General features: G+C 42.5%; 1 pseudogene, besides 3 other annotated features; it reads right to left on the reverse strand.

Moving 5' to 3' along the window:
• Positions 1-502: an enhancer, noted in NCBI's record as "NANOG hESC enhancer chr3:149167556-149168057 (GRCh37/hg19 assembly coordinates)". NCBI's record gives its function as "activates a minimal SCP1, AML or CMV promoter by ChIP-STARR-seq in primed H9 embryonic stem cells {active_cell/tissue: H9 hESC(primed)}" and the evidence as "EXISTENCE:reporter gene assay evidence [ECO:0000049][PMID:30033119]".
• On the reverse strand, positions 12,831-14,402 carry FKBP1AP4 (FKBP prolyl isomerase 1A pseudogene 4; annotated as a pseudogene).
• Positions 13,856-14,357: an enhancer, noted in NCBI's record as "H3K4me1 hESC enhancer chr3:149181411-149181912 (GRCh37/hg19 assembly coordinates)". NCBI's record gives its function as "activates a minimal SCP1, AML or CMV promoter by ChIP-STARR-seq in primed H9 embryonic stem cells {active_cell/tissue: H9 hESC(primed)}" and the evidence as "EXISTENCE:reporter gene assay evidence [ECO:0000049][PMID:30033119]".
• Positions 14,358-14,857: an enhancer, noted in NCBI's record as "H3K4me1 hESC enhancer chr3:149181913-149182412 (GRCh37/hg19 assembly coordinates)". NCBI's record gives its function as "activates a minimal SCP1, AML or CMV promoter by ChIP-STARR-seq in primed H9 embryonic stem cells {active_cell/tissue: H9 hESC(primed)}" and the evidence as "EXISTENCE:reporter gene assay evidence [ECO:0000049][PMID:30033119]".

Raw genomic sequence — 16,236 nt, forward strand, 5'->3', positions numbered from 1 at the left:
TTAGCATCTCAAGCTGGGAGGAAGATTGATCCAAATCAGAGCTTTTCACCTGGCGTGTCTTTGCCTCTTTCCCCCAGAGAAGCCTCTGGGCCCAGGGTGGAGACTGCTGTATCCAGGAGGTTTAGGAGTGGTGTTCAGGGAATGCAGTCTCCTGCCAGCTTGGAGGTCTGAAAGAATGTGGCAGGTCAGTTCTCTCTGGCCTCCTCCCCTCTCCATACGGCTTGACTGTTTCTTTTGATCTCCTCCGAGATCTGACAATGCTCAAGACTTTCAAACAGTTGCTGGAGCCTGCTGCAGCTCTGACCTGGCTGATATGGCAGGGGGTGTTTCTGTGGAGAGCAAGGAGGAGACAGAACCAAGATCTTATCCCAGGGAACACGAATGAATTCTAATATATCCATTATCATACCTACTCCTCCTTCAAGTACACCTCTCCTCACACTCACACAAAGAAAAGTAAACATCAGAGCATCAGGTCAGGCTCCAAGGAATCTGTATCTGCTTAACATAAACTTTTCAGTAACTTCCATAGGATACTTCTGTGGAATTTCCTCCAGATGAGGGACACATTCAAGCAAGGTAACTGGCATCGAAATCAAACAGATCTACCAACTCAGCTCTGCCATTCAGCAACTTTGTGGCCCCGGTTTTTCCATCTCTAAAATAGAGATGATTACATCATCTCCTTTGTGTGGTTGTTTTGAGAATGAAATGAGATAGCACATGTCAAGCACATGGTACTATTCCTGGCTCATAATAGAGCATCAATAAATATTAGTCTTCCCTTGTCCAGTGCCATTTCACACAGGTCCAATTGGAATGTGCTAGACAACTTACCCAATCCTGCTACATTCTCATCATGGCCCCTTACTAAAAGCCACAGTAAAATTTGGAGAGATCTGGAATGTTCTACAAAGAAAGATAGCTCAACCCAAATTTAACTTTAAAAATAAGCATTTGTGGAGCACAAGCTATGCTCTTTGTAGGTACTTGCAGTTAAAGATAATTTCTGGTTACCTATGGCCAAAATCACCCCAAAACGTAATTTTATTAGTCTGTTCTTGCATTCCTATAAAGGAATATCTGAGACAGGGTAATTTATAAAGAAAAGAGGTTTAATTGGCTCATGGTTCCATGGGCTATAGAGGAATATGGCAGCATCTGCTTCCGGGGAAGCCTCAGGGAGATTGTACTCATAGTGGGAAACAAAGTGGGGACAGATCTCTTACATGGCAGGAGCAGAACCAAGAAAGAGAGATGGTGGAGGTGCTATACTCCTTTAAACAACTAGATCTCATGATAACTCACTCACTGTCACAAGAACAGCACCGAGGGGGTGGTACCAAACTGTTTATGAGAAACCACCCACATGATCCAATCATCTCCCACTAGGCTCCACCTCCAACACTGGGGATTACAATTCAACATAAGATTTGGGTGCAGATACAGATCCAAACCATACTATTCTTCCCCTGAGCCCTCCCAATTCTCATGTCCTTCTTGAATTGCAAAATACAATAATGCCTTCCCAACAGTCCCACAAAGTCTTAACTCATTTCAGCATTAACTCAAAAGTCCAAAGTCCAAAGTCTCATCTGAGACAAGGCAAGCCCCTTCTACCTATGAGCCTGCAAAATCAAAAACAAGTTAGTTACTTTCAAGATACAATGGGGGAGCTTGGAATGGTGGCTCATGCCTGTAATCCCAGCACTTTTGGAGGCTGAGGCAGGCATATTGCTTGATACTAGGAGTTTGAAGTCAGCCTGGTCAACATGGTGAAACCCCATCTCTACAAAAAAATACAAACATTAGCTGGGCATGGTGGTGTGTGCCTGTGGTCCCAGCTACTCAGGAGGCTGAGGTGGGAGGATTGGCTGAGCCCAGGAGGCAAATGTTGCAGTGAACTGAGATCACACCACTGCACTCCAGCCTAGACAACAGAGTGTGACCCTGTCTCAAAAAAAAAAAAAAAAGAAAGAAAAAGAAAGAAAGAAAGATACAATGGGGGTACCAGCATTGGGTAAAACACTCCCATTCCAAAAAGGAGAAACTGGCCAAAAGAAAGGGACTACGGGCCCCATGCAAGTTCAAAACCTATCCGGGCAGCCATTGAACCTTAAAGCTCCAAAATAATCTCTTTTGACACCATGTCCCACATTCAGGGCACTCTCATGCAAATGGTGGGCTCCCAAGGCCTTGGGCATCTCCACCCCTGTGGCTTTGCAGGAGTCAGCCCCTGTGGCTGCTTTCATGGGTTGGTGCTGAGTGTGGCTTTTCCAGGTTCAGGGTACAAGCTGCCAGTGGATCTACCATTCTGGGGTCTGGAGGGCAGTGGCCCCCTTCTCACAGCTCCACTAGGCATAGGCAGAGCCCCAATGGGGACTCTGGGTTGGGGGTCCAACCTCACATTTCCCCTCTGCACTGCCCTAGTAGAGGTTCTCTGTAAGGGCTCCACCTCTGCAGTAGGCTTCTGTCTGGACATCCAGGCTTTTCAGTACGTCCTCTGAAATTTAGGTGGAGGCTCCCAAGCCTTAACTCTTACACTCTGTGCACCTGCAGTCTTAACACCACGTGGAAGCTGCCAATGCTTATTGATGGCACCCTCTGAATCAGTGGCCCAAGCTCTACCTGGGCCCCTTTGAGCCACGGATGGAGCTGGAGTATCCAGGACCCTGATGCTGCACAGTGCAGTGAGACCCTGGGCCTGGCCCATGAAACCATTCTTGTCTCCTAGTCCTTTGGGCCTGTGATGGGCAGTACTGCTGGAAAGGTTTCTGAAATGCCATTGAGGCCTTTCCCATTGTCTTGGATATTAGCACTTATCTCCTTTTTACTTATGTGAATTTCTGCAGCCCACTTGAGTTTCTCCTCTGAAAAACGGGCTTTTCTTTTCTAACACATGGCTGGGCTGCAAATTTTTCAAACTTTTATGCTCTGCTTCCCCTTTAAATGTAAGTTCCAGTTTTACATCATTTCTTTGCTCATGCATATGAACATTGGGTGTTAGAAGCAGACAGGTCACGTCTTGAACACTTTGCCACTCAGAAATGTATTCTGCCAGATACCCTAAATTATCATTCTCAAGTTCAAAGTTCCACAAATCACTAGAGCAGGGGCACAATGGCTCCAAGTGTTTTGCTAATGCATAACAAAAGTGACCTTTGCTCCAGTTCCCAATAAGTTCCTCATCTCCATCTGACACCTCCTCAGCATGGACTTACTGTCCATATCACTCTCAGCATTTTGGTCACAACCATTCAACAAGTTTCTAGGAAGTTCCAAACTTTCTCTCATCTTCCTGTCTTCTTCTGAGCCCTCCAAACTGTTCCAACCTTTGCCCATTACCCAATTTCAAAGCTGCTTCTACATTTTCAGATATCTGTATAGCAATGCCCCACTACTTGGTACCAATTTTCTGTATTAGTCTGTTCTCACATTGCTACAAAGAAATACCTGAGACTGGGTAATTTATAAAGAAAAGGGTTTCAATTGGTTATCAGCCAGGACCAAGAGTGGGGGAAGAGGTGCTACCACTTTTAAACAATCAGATTTCACAATAATTCACTCACTCGCTATCATGACAACAGCACTGAGGTCATGGTGCTTTAAACTATTCATGAGAAACTGCCTCCATGATCCAATCACCTCCTACCAGACCTTACCTCCAACACTGGGGGTTACAATTGAACATGAGATTTGGATGAGGACACAGATCCAAACCATATCAGTAGGGTCTTAAAACAACAATGTATTGTTGACTCTCATGGTTCTGAAGATTTACTAAACCTGGCTGGTTGGTTCTCATGCAATGGCAGTCAGCAGTTGAGTCATCTGGAGGCTTGTCTGGGCTGGGCTTCCAAGACAGCTTCTTCACCCTCTATTTTATTGCCTCCATGCTCCTCCACATGGTGTCTTTCTCCAGAAGAGTAGTCTAGATGTACTGTATGGTGACTTAATGCTCTAAGAAAAGGAAGAAACAGGAAGCAGAAACTACCAATAATCTTAGAACCTTAGCCCAGAAATGGCCCAGGTCTCTTATGCCATATTCTGATAGCGAAAGGCAAGTACAGACCAGCCAAGATTCAAGAAGGAGGAGGGGTAGTTTCCACCTCTCCATAGGGGAATGGCATGTATGTGCACAAAGGGAAGGGATTAATGGTGAATGTCTTTGGAGACAAGCTACCACTGATGGATAAGATATATGAGTTTCATGTGCGTAGAAACACAAGATGTTTACTTGTGTTATTTTTTAGTTGGAAGTTCTTCAACCAAGTGCAAGATAGACATCATCTACCACATGCCTCAGGCTTCTGAGTTCCTACCAATTAAAACTATTCCCAAAAAAAGGGCAAATTTTTGTATCGGATTATGTTTTCCTCACGACTAAGATGATTTTGTCACCTTGGGCTTTTTTTTTTTAGCCAGCAAATTTTATCCTCCATGTGAGCCTGTCACTGTGTAACTCATTGCTCTGTCTCTAGAGTAAAAACCAAGAATTCTGATCATTCAAACCAAATGCCTGCTCTTGCTCCCATCTCCTGATACTGCCCTATTTCCTTCTATGTTTCCAGTAATTATAGATTCCAATGAGTTATTCAGGTAATTCTTCTAAAAAGAATAAGGTACATGCTTTAATAGCTCCTTGTACTTCTTCAGGGCACTTACCTTAGTTTGTAATTTAATATTTGTATGATTGTTGGATTACCCTCTATCTTCCTCACCAGAGCCTAAGCTCTATATAGTCAGATATTATTTATCTCCAGCACATAGGTCTGAGGCTTGCATATACTAGATGCTCAATAATATTCTTTGAATGAATGAATTGTTCCTTCTCTCCAGAAATATTTAATGATGAAATAAAAAAGTCAGCCCCATTAAAATGGAAAGCAATTTTAGGAATTTATTTTCACAAGCATGGTGTTTGATTTTTAAGTGTCGAACCTTAGAAAAATCATGATATCCGATTTTTAAAAAGCAAAATTATTTGATTCTGTGACTCAAGCAATACCAACTAAGTAGTTCTCTTTAAGAATTCCCTCCACAGCAGCAGACATGATCTCAGGCATGCCAGGCTCTACTGAAGGAGTATATCTAGCTTTCAATCTCCACTCACTATTTCAGACCTCCTTGCTCTGTTCCTGCATCTCAGATTCCTTCCTTGTTGCCTCATACCTGATTGCCCAAACCCTTCAGATGGATGTTGCAGTTGGAGTATACATTTGGCTTGAAATCTGCCTGAACTCTCTGCTCCCCTTGAATAACATCTTTCCAAAGCCTGTCCTGCCTCACCTCCACACCCACACAAAACTCTGGAATCTGCTACTAAATTCCAACACCCTGCTTCTCAGCATATTCAGACATAGCCTCATTTAGCTTTGGTGTTCCCCAAACTGGAAACACAAATGAGCAATTGGACTTCAGAGATCTTTTTATTTTTACTTTTTACTATGGAAATTTTTAACGTTAAAGAAAATATAGTGATAAACTTTAATAGGACCATCACCCAGTTTCAATTATTATTAGCTCATGACCAGTCTTATTTCTTCCACACCCTAATCCACTTCCCTGCTGCCCTAAATGATTTCGAAGCAAGCCTTAGCTAGATATCACAGTGCTTTATCCATAACTATTCTGGTATCTATCTTTAAAAGATAAGTACTTTTTAAAAACACAACTAAAAACATTACCACACCTGAAAATACTCTGGGTACTCTTTAAGTTTCAGCAACTGATAATTTTCAGTCCAAAAGATATTGAGGTGATAAAGCTCCATGAAGCTAGCTCTTTACGACTGCTGTCCTCCTACACATACCCCACATATGAACACACCTACACACTCTCTGAAGGATGGAAAGGCGCTTCTAATGAGATTTTTTGTTGTCCCATGCAAGACATGGTGCCGACAATCAGCTTTGCTGTTATCTATACTCTCAGACAAAGACTGCCAGAGACACCTGTAGTTGAACAAGTTGGGTTTTTCACAAACTGCAGTAAGGGAAAATACCTTGAAAACTCCATGAAAGTGTCATGGAGTATCTCAGAAAAGGGTTGTCAAAAACAACCCGGTATAGAATTTGGGGTTTGGTTGAGTAATTTTAGGGAGAGTCTAAGAAAACAGGGTTCTCTCCAGATTGGGTATTATCAGTAAGTGGAGGCAATCCTACTTTTGGGAATCTCGATAGGTCTTATCTGTGGGGAACACACAGCCTAGGGAGACATTAAAGCTGTCATTGGTAAAGAAGTCACTGTCACTCATTCAGCAAGAGAAGAAAATATCTGTTATTTTGTGTTGCACAGTGACCTTATTTTTGTCTCACTTTATCATGGCCTAAGAGTGACCTCGTTAGATATAGATATTCTGTGAGATTGTTTATATTCAAGAGGAAAATAACATGGCCTGGCTGTGTGTGTCAGACCAACTTGTAATAGCATTGAGGTCTAGGTGTGAATGTCAAGTCAGTCCTAAATGTCAGAGGGTACTCCTATCCTTTTTCATTGTTTTACCACTTTCCAGGGTGTGTGAGTTTACTGAATACTGCTACCTTCAGTCCTGGTTCCATACCACCTTCTCAACCTATTTTTCTGTTTGGATTATTTTTACCACTCATTATTTACAGTGTGTATGTTATGTTATATTATATTCAAGTGTTTATAAGCTTTTTAAAATCCTTTTCTAGAGAAGAAAAAAAATCATGTTTGAATGAAGAAAAACAAAGAGTATCTGAAAATGTAAGATATTCTTGCTACGTATTTATTATTGCCCACTCTATAATCAAATGCATTTTGAGTAGATATCTGGCAACATTTTACTTGTAGAGGGCAGTAAGCTGGACTGCTTTGCAATCTGTTCATTCAGTTAACAAGGAAAATTTCTCAAACTACTCTCCTCTGCTGGAACCCTCAGTAAGAAGCACATTATACTCAGTATAAACTATACCACAAAATATAACACACACACACACACACACACACACACACACACATACTCATACCTTACCAGATTAAAAATTTAACAAAACAATATTTATTCTTACTAATTGTGATGTACTCCAGTATTCTCTATTTCCTTCTATTTTTATTTCATTTTTAAAATTAAATACTGACCTTCTAAGTTGAGCTCATGACTCCCTACTGGATCTCAATCTGCATTTGAAAAAACTTACTGGGCACTAGGACATTACTTTTCACAAAACAAAATATTTGTGGATATTTCATTGAATTAATTTTGACGCTGCTGCTGTTTTTTAAAACCATGGTGGGTGTTTTGTAATAATCACCTAAAAATCTTTCTTGGCTAAATGATGGCAAATTATGTTGAATCATATAAAATACAACAAATTATTTGGAGAGAGAAATCTTAGCCTTGCCTCTTATTACTGGCTTGGCCATCACCAAGCAGAGATGACCTATGTTGGGCGTGTGTCTTCATTATGCACCAAGATTCTCATAACTGGATTTTAAACCAGATTCAGACTTTAATTATTAGCACAGAATAACTGAATTCCAATACTTGTCAAGAAGAATGACCTCTCTTCTCCCTTCCCAAAAGCTTAGCTGTCAGAAATGACTGTGAAAGGGACAGGGACAGTGGCTCACTCTTGTAATCCCAGCACTTTGGGAGGCGGAGGTGGGTGGATGGCTTGAGCCCAGGAGTTCAAGAGCAGCCTGGCCAACATGGAGAAACCTGATCTCTACCAAAAATACAAAAGTAAGCCGGGCGTGGTGGTGTGCACCTGTAATTCCAGGTACTCAGGAGGCTGAGACAGGAGAATCCCTTGAACCTGGGAGGTGGAGGCTCCGCTGAGCCAAGATCACGCCACTGCACTCCAGCCTGGGTGACAGAGGGAGACTTTGTCTCAAAAAAAAAAAAAAAAAAAAAAAAAGAAAGAAGGAAAAGAAAAAAGACATGACCGTGAAAGGATGATATTTGGAATGTATATTAAACCTAAGTCTTTCTTTGCTGACTCCCCATTTCTACCCTTATTACTGTCAACATTATTCTTTATGATCTAAATTTACCCTGACAGAGTAAATGATATTCTGAATGAAGTTTTTAAACTCACCATCAAAAGTAGACTTAAACTTGGTATTGAATATCAAGAGCAGAAGAGACCAAGAAGTTTATTTATCAATAACAGGTTAGAGATCAAAGAAGAACACAGTAGCAGGACCAAGTTGAATACTTCAGGATGGACAGCCTGGTGTGTGGGCAGGTGGGATTGTGGTAGGGTTGGTAATGTAAATTAACAAAGGAAGGGGGGTGTTGGTAATTGAGATTAATAAGGAAGGGGCATTATTACTCTGGAGGCTAGGGGAGCCATGCCAGGTGTATTAGTCCATTTTCACACTGCTATAAAGACATACCTGAGGCTGGGTAATTTTTAAAGGAAAGAAGTTTAATTGACTCACAGGTCCACATGACTGGGGAAGCCTCAGAAAACTTACAATCATGGTGGAAGGCAAAGGAGAAGCAAGTACCTTCTTCACAAGGCAGCAGGAAAGAGAGAAGAGAAAATGAAGGCGGAAGATCCCCTTATAAAACTGTCAGACCTTGTGAAAACTTGTTCACTGTCATGAGAATAACACGGGGGAAACTGCCCCCATGATCCAATCACTTCCCTTCCTCCACACATGGGGATTACAATTCGAGATGAGATTTGGATGGAGACACAAAGCCAAACCATATCACTGAGGAAACCTGACTAGACAGGACAACTCGTTGAGAGTGGAGTAGCATCAGGGTACTGCCCATCCCTGCTAGGGTGAGCACGGTGACAGACTGTGGACCCAATACCCTGGATTGCCCATTGCCAAATCACCTGAGGAGAGCAATTCAATTTTAACTAATCATTTTTGCAAGCTTAGTTGTTCTAGCTGCTGAAAAAAAAAGCACGAGTCTCTTTAAAAGGAATAAAATTCTGACACATGCTATAACATGGATAAACCTTGAAACATTATGATAAGTGAAATAAATCCATTACAAAAGGACAAATATTGTATGCTTCTATTTACATGAGGTACCTAGAATAGTCAAATTCACAGACAGAGAAAGTAAAATAGTGGTTACTAGGGACTGGGAGGAGGCTAGAATGGGGAGCTGGTGTTTAATGGGTATAGAATTTCAGCTTGGAAAGATTAAAAAGTTTTAGAGATGAGTACTGATGATAGTTGCACAAGGATGCCACTTAATGCCACTGAATTGTATACTTTAAAATGATTATAATGGTAAATTTTATGTAATATATATATTGCTACAATTTTTTAAAAGAGTGTGGGTCCAGGCTGGGTGCGGTGGCTCACGCCTGTAATCCCAGCAGTTTGGGAGTCCGAGGCGAGTGGATTACCTGAGGTCAGGAGTTTGAGACCAGCCTGGCCAACATGGGGAAACCCCATTTCTACTAAAAGTATAAAAATTGACATATGATATGATATGATATGATATGATATGACATATCATATCATAATTTGTAAATTAAATACAAAGTAGGAGGTAATAAGTGCCAGAAAAAAGAAAAATATATGCTGTTTGAGTTTAGAATCAAGAACCTGAAGTGTGTGTGTGTGTGTGTGTACAAAGGGAGAATTAATTTGAGAAAGTTCCAAGTAATTATATTTTAAATATATATACTGAACACTTACATTATATATAAAGCACATATCTATTGTGCATTTTGTACTTTTTGCTTACAAAATTATATTATGACCTAAATAAATGAAATAGTCTTCTCTTTGTCTGCATTCTTATTGAGATCCAAGTCAACATAGTTGCTTAAAGACAGTTCTCAAACTTTTGATGACAGTAAAATTATGACATATGAGTCAGGAAAGATTAAGGAATACAGTATAAAGTGACCCTGTGCAACACTGGCGTGGATGTGGGAAGGGCTGGAGTTCAAGACCCACATTTGCGTAGCCTTGGGCACTATCTCACCAGGCCCCCATTATCTTATCTACAATATAACTAGTTTGGGCTAGATAACTTTCTAGCTCTGTCAGTCTCTGATTCTAGGGAGTAAAATAGTCTTAGCTGTGTTATGAATCCATCTATCTCCTTCACCGTAGCAATCACCAGCTTCCTTGGCCAATTGTTGCTGTGTCTCCGCACCCACCCACACTAGTGTCGCAAATCCCCAGACATATCATTTCATCTGCTTTTCCTTACCAGAAGAAATGAAGAAAGAAAAAGTGTTTTAACTTGGTGCACCACAATGTCACATTTGCTCCTCTATAGAAATGTGAGGAGAAAGAGTTTTCGTTTAATGGTGTAATTGCAAATGGACAACAGTTTTAGAAAACAGGAGTAATTTTAAGAGGCATGATAACCAGCTTCATAGTAAAGAAACAGTAAAAAGTAAAAACATGATTTTTCTCAGAGTATTCTTCACATTTAAAAATAGTTCTCTGCGGCCTTTTGGCAGCTCAAAGTGAAGAAATTCTTATGAATGAGCTGGGGAATCAAAGAGAGAATGTGTGAGCCACAGGCAGAAAGCAAGTTCCATTCTAGCAGCAGTTGGCCACAATCTGCTTTTCTGCTTGGGCCTCAGCTTTTGGACAGCTGTGTGCCTGAGACTGCAAGGTCATTTCTGGCCTTGCCAATGTTGCTTTCAGCTCTTGAGCTTTGGGCTGATTTGTTACACAACAATCACTAACCAACACAGAAGAAAATGCAAAATCTCCAATCCTGATATTAGACAATATTCTGTCAACAAAATGACCACTTATTATTAATAATAATGTAATAATTAAATCCCCTATATGTATTTCTTCAGGTCACTTTTACCTGAGTGGGTGGTGAAGAAGGAGGCTGAGTGAGCAGGAGACTTGGCCATATATGGTTAGAGCTGGTAGTTGGGGTTACGTGGCTGCCAAGCTTTCTGCTATGGACATTCTGTTTTTCCCTGCATGGCAGCAGCTAGAGTCCTAGCCCAGAAGTCAGAGGATGTTTACTCTAATTCTGTCTCTGCCACTTGCTGGTTGTGTGAACTTTGGCTACTCTCTAGACCTCTCTGGCCTCAGTTTCCTCATTCATAAAAAATACTGGCTATAATAATCCCTACCTGGCTGGCCTGCCCACTTCATTGGCGGGATCGAGTAAGATGATGATAGGAACACACAGTGAATACTGAAAGATAGTCATACACATACACACTCATGAGATGACGTGAGGATGTGATGTAGGATCTCAACTGAATACACTATAGTTTTGCCTGGACTATTCAAAATATCTGATAATATTTTCTGTTAAAAAAAAGTCAGTGTTTAGTATATGATGCCAAATCCTGGACTTCATTTTACAAAATAAATAAAGTTTTGTGTATGATAGTATATGTAATCAATGCTATAAACGGATTAATAATTGGCTAACCCTGGATAACCAATTACTCTGCTTCATAGGTGAAGTGACTGAGACTCTGAGAGATTAAGTAACTTCTCAAGGGCAACAGTTACTAAGCAGTAGAGCCAGAACTTATACCCAGGGACCCTTTCCATTATATCCCAGCAAGGTTTCTCAAAAAGATTGAAGGCAAGTTGGCCTCAAAGGCACACTTACATCACTGACTCTGAGAAGGTAGCTTTATGTGGGATGACGCCCAGGCATCTTCACAAGAACAAAGCAGGAAGCAAATCCCTTCAGCCAGGGAGTTTTGGAGATCTTTTTGTTTCTCTTCTTTGCCTGCACTAAAGAGCTGGTGAATAAACCATGGGGTTGGCAGGCAGTACTTGAAGGCACCATTGACTTCACAGTGAATGAATACTAGAGGTATCTTGGGTCTGGGCAGAGGGAGACCCCACGGATGGTGGTGGATGAGATTGTACTGATTTGGGGCCTCCCAGCCAGCACATGCACATAGCAGAGGAACATGGCTGAAGCTTCTTGTGTGTCACATCCCTGTCTGAAACATAACTGTCCAGACTGTAAGAAAGTGTTCTGTATGATGGTATTTTTCAGGTGTTTATGTTTTTGTGGTGGTGGTGGAGAGAAATATTATGCTTGAACCAAATAGAATCACGTCTCTCCTTCTTAGTCCTCTCTTCAAGCCCTTCCTCCCCCAACTCACCCCACCTTGCCAGTTGCATTTGTGAACTTGAGTAGCTCTCAATTCAATTATCAACAAGTGATAATACTTTAAGTGTTAAGTTGAATTTTAAAATGCATTCAAAATTATTAATACATAAGAATCACAAGAGCATATACATTTTAGCCTCAGCAGCTTAGGTAATTAGATAGATGGTTAATCCAAAAGGGACCAAAACTAAAGGTACAAGAAGTAGATAAATGATCCTGTCTTGTATTTTTTCTTTTTTTTCATAAAAATGAATTTTTAATTTCATGAGTATTAAAAAGAAAACCCAAACCTGTCACATTTCCCTCCTACTCATACAAACAGTTTTCAAAAGAGATTCTTCAAATTTTACATTTTTTCCATTCTGGCTCATTCTTTGCTTCCTCATCATCAGATTCAACTTGGCCAAACATGATTCTGGGCTGAGTCTTGGAATGTGTTGGAGAAACCCAATATGGGTTGTCTTCTGCGCTTTGGCATGATGCAAAATGGCTTCCCAAGGATTACGGTCGTCAGTCTTGTCCAAAGCAATGTTCTTCACAATATAGAAAGAAAGAGTGCCCTTGTGGGTCCCACCACAACCTGGGTCTGCTACAGGAGGTTCAGGTTTATGCAACTTCAGGGGATCCAGTCTGTCCTTCTCTAGCTGTTTCCTTGTACTCCGTTCGTGGGGCTCACAGAACATAGGCAAGACATGAGGGGCGATGATGTAGTCCTGGGTTAGTGTCTCAGCTTGTTTTGCCTCCCACTGGTTATTTGTTTGTTAGAAAAGCCAGCATAAAGCACTTTTATTGCAATAACAAAACTTGAAACCCATATATGGTGCCGGGGTGGGTGAGGCAGCAATGATTTCTCTCACCCAACCACTACACAGGACAGCAAAGGGGGTGAGAAGGGCCTGAGGGAGGAAAAGCTAGGAAACTGAAATCAGCAGTGAGAGCCAAGCATGAAAAAACAGGAGATGCTGAAGCTGCGATGACCAGCATTATTTTCTTAAGAGAACATTCAAGGATTTGTCATGATGCCTGGGCTTTCATTGGGTGTTAAGTCACAAACAGCACCTACAATTTAAACTGTCAATTAAAGTTTTTAAAATTTAGGAAGTGGTGGAGCTTGGAAAGTTATGAGATTACAAAATTCCTGAAAGTCCACTAGAAAAACCACAGGATGGAAAAATAAATAAATACATAAGCCAGGCCACAAAGAAGACTTCAGAGGTCCCCACTGGCCTAGGGACAGACCTGTAGTGTCCAGCATGGCAGTGAACATGATCTGCTTTCAAAGGCATAGGGTTTAAGGGGACGGTGGGGTGAGACCAGTGGAAGCAAAGGCTCTCCCCATCCCCACCTCAGTTTGAGGTAGGGCTTTTAATTTAACCTAAGGACATCTCTCAACGTGGAGAATAATTGAGCCCTCAACAGTGCCTCAAATCTGCTATGGCTTTGCAGCGCAGCAGAAAGAATGTTTAATATATAATAGATTAAAATTTCATCCAAAAAAATTAAAATAAAATATTCTTGCAACCCCCACCCCCGCCCCACACCAATTCCTATTCTAAAGTTAACCTATCACTTGTGCTGTTAATACTTGACCATATACTTATTGGAAACCTAGATCCAAAAGACTGAAACTGAATCTTCACCCCAAAATGAAAACAAAATAAAATGAATAACTTGAGGTTTATGGCGTACAGTTTAGGTAAACACACGTACGAGGAGAAAGGGGAAGAGGAGATGGAGGTGTTGGAAGCAAAGCTGAGTGACAGAACACATTCAGTCAGGGTTGATGTCTATACAGAGTGGAGTGGAACATCAGGAAAAGCTCCATATGGATTCATGTGCACGCGTCTGGAGGCACCAGATCCCTCCTTGGCAGATCCAAGAACAGGGATCTGGATCTTGGATCATTCTAAAACTGGAATGACAGGAGGAGGCCATTCCTGTCATTCTAGTTTTAGAAGCTCCACATCGAAGACGAGAGTGGCGTGTGGTGGGATGATGCCTGGGTGCCCAGTGGCACCGTAGGCATAATCTGGAGATACAGTCAGTTTGGCTGTCACTAAATTGGCGGGTCACCGCACTCATCTGGACAACCCTTTCTTCCCAGGCTGGGATCACCTCCTGCTTGCCAAGCATAAGCTTAAAGGGCTTTTTCTGTCCCAGGAGGAATCAAATTTCTTTCCATCTTCAAGCATCCCGGTGTAGTGCATCACGCAGGTCTGGCCGCGCTTCAGGAGGGTGTGCGCGTCTCCTGGGGCGATGGTTTCCACCTGCACTCCCATGGCGGCTGCGGACGCTGGGTGGGCAGGCAGCGCGAGGGGCGGCGTGGACTCACAGCGACCTGGCAGCGGTTCCATGGCTCTGCCTAGTCCCCTTTCGCCGGGTTTTAACCACATATAATTTTGCTCCTCTCTGACTCTTGTTGGGGTTGTAATAGACTTTAGACAATCATTTCCAGTTCCAACCATGATCTGGTTCAGCCTTGGATGCCGCAGGCAGCGTCTGTGATGTCTGTTTCATACACCCTTTGGAAAGTCCTACGCTCAAGGCAAACAAGTTTGCCGCTGCCACATCCCCTTTGAACAGACGTACCAGTGACTATGAGCTTATCATCTGGACTGAAACAGCAGTCAATCATTGGGAACATGGTGGGAAGACCCGAGGCTGAAAAAAGTGCTTATTAAATTGTCGGATGTCCCATAATTTTAACGAATCATCACCTCCACGAGAGGCAAGGACATTACCATCATAGGAAAAAGTCACGCCAAGAAGTGTCTGTGCCCAAGTAATGAGGCTGTTTATAGTTGAACTTAGGATGAACCGTCAGATATCGGTCCCAGATCTGCATGCTTCCATTCTGGCAGGCGGCTGCTATGAGATTTCCATCTCTACTATATGTGCACGTTGTGGGAATGACATTTTTTTGTTCTGCATCGTCCGTGGTTTAAACACACTTTTTTTGTTTCTTTGGGTTTTCAATTTCCCACGTCCTCACAGTCCTGTAATCCAGGACAGTATAAACATTCTTGCCCCTGCTGGTTCCACAGTACTCCTCTCCTGGGTACACTTCCGTATTTCTTGCTGAACTTAAAATGCCAATAGAAGCTATTTCTTCACCTCCGTCAGGGTTACACTTCAGGAAAAGGAAGCAGGGGTTTTCATGTTGGTTGTCCGGGCCTCTCTTCAAACTCACCAGATCCTGGCCTGCAGCACGCGGCGCCAGCAGCTCCTCACTTTCGAAGTCGCGGGCTCTGAGACTGCCCGAGTGAGAAGGAGGCTGTGGGTCAGGGCCCCGCCCTGCGGCATCCCAGGAAGAGGACAGCGTGGGGCCGGAGTCAGGCCCGGTCCTGGGTCCGTGTCTCCATTCCGCCGCCTACTGCCAGGCCAGCCCAGCCCCGGAACTTCTCTTCCAGTGCTTGAGGGTCCGCCCGTGCAGTGTGGAAGTGGGCAGGCAGGGTGACTTCCAGCTCACTCCCCTGTCTTGTATTTTCCATAGTCTGGTTTAACAGTTGTATGTCGGTGGCAGTCATTATCGTCATCATCACTATTATCAGCGCGTATTTTATGGTGCCTTGATTAAGTGGAGGCACCGTGCTAGGTACAGTTAAGGACTTTACCTTTCTATAAGATACTGTCACCGTTTTTAAGGAGTGTCCCATCTCCATTTCTGGCCCAGAGGTAAGATTAGAGGTTCTGACATGGTGATAAGTTTGAAAAACAGATACAGCCCTGAAAGTCCCGGGAAGAAGGGAGGAGGAGAGGGAACAAGCTTCAGAGTGCTGGCTTCCAAAGTCCTTCCGCAGATAGCCAGTGTGCTTCCAGCTGCTCAGTGGGAAGAGACTCAGAAATAGTGGAACGCTGCAAGGAGGTCAAAGGAGAATGAAGCCTGAGACATGGCCACGGGGTTCAGTAACGGGTAATGGCACTGATGAACTTGCCATAGTGAGACTGGGACAGGAACCAGATGGCAAGAGGTTAACAAATCAGAGGGGGCTGGGAACTGGAGAGACAGGCTTGGTCAAGAGGAGAAAGGAGCAGGGTCAAGGGAAGATGTTTCCAAGACAGAATTCAAAAATGGAAAAATTTGATTATTTCTGGTTGTTTGATGGGTAAATGGGAGTTCATTATACAATTCTCTATACCTAGTGGGTATTTTTTAACTTCTTTAATAA

The sequence above is a fragment of the Homo sapiens genome, chromosome 3 (assembly GCF_000001405.40).
Source record: "Homo sapiens chromosome 3, GRCh38.p14 Primary Assembly".
NCBI lineage: Eukaryota > Metazoa > Chordata > Mammalia > Primates > Hominidae > Homo > Homo sapiens.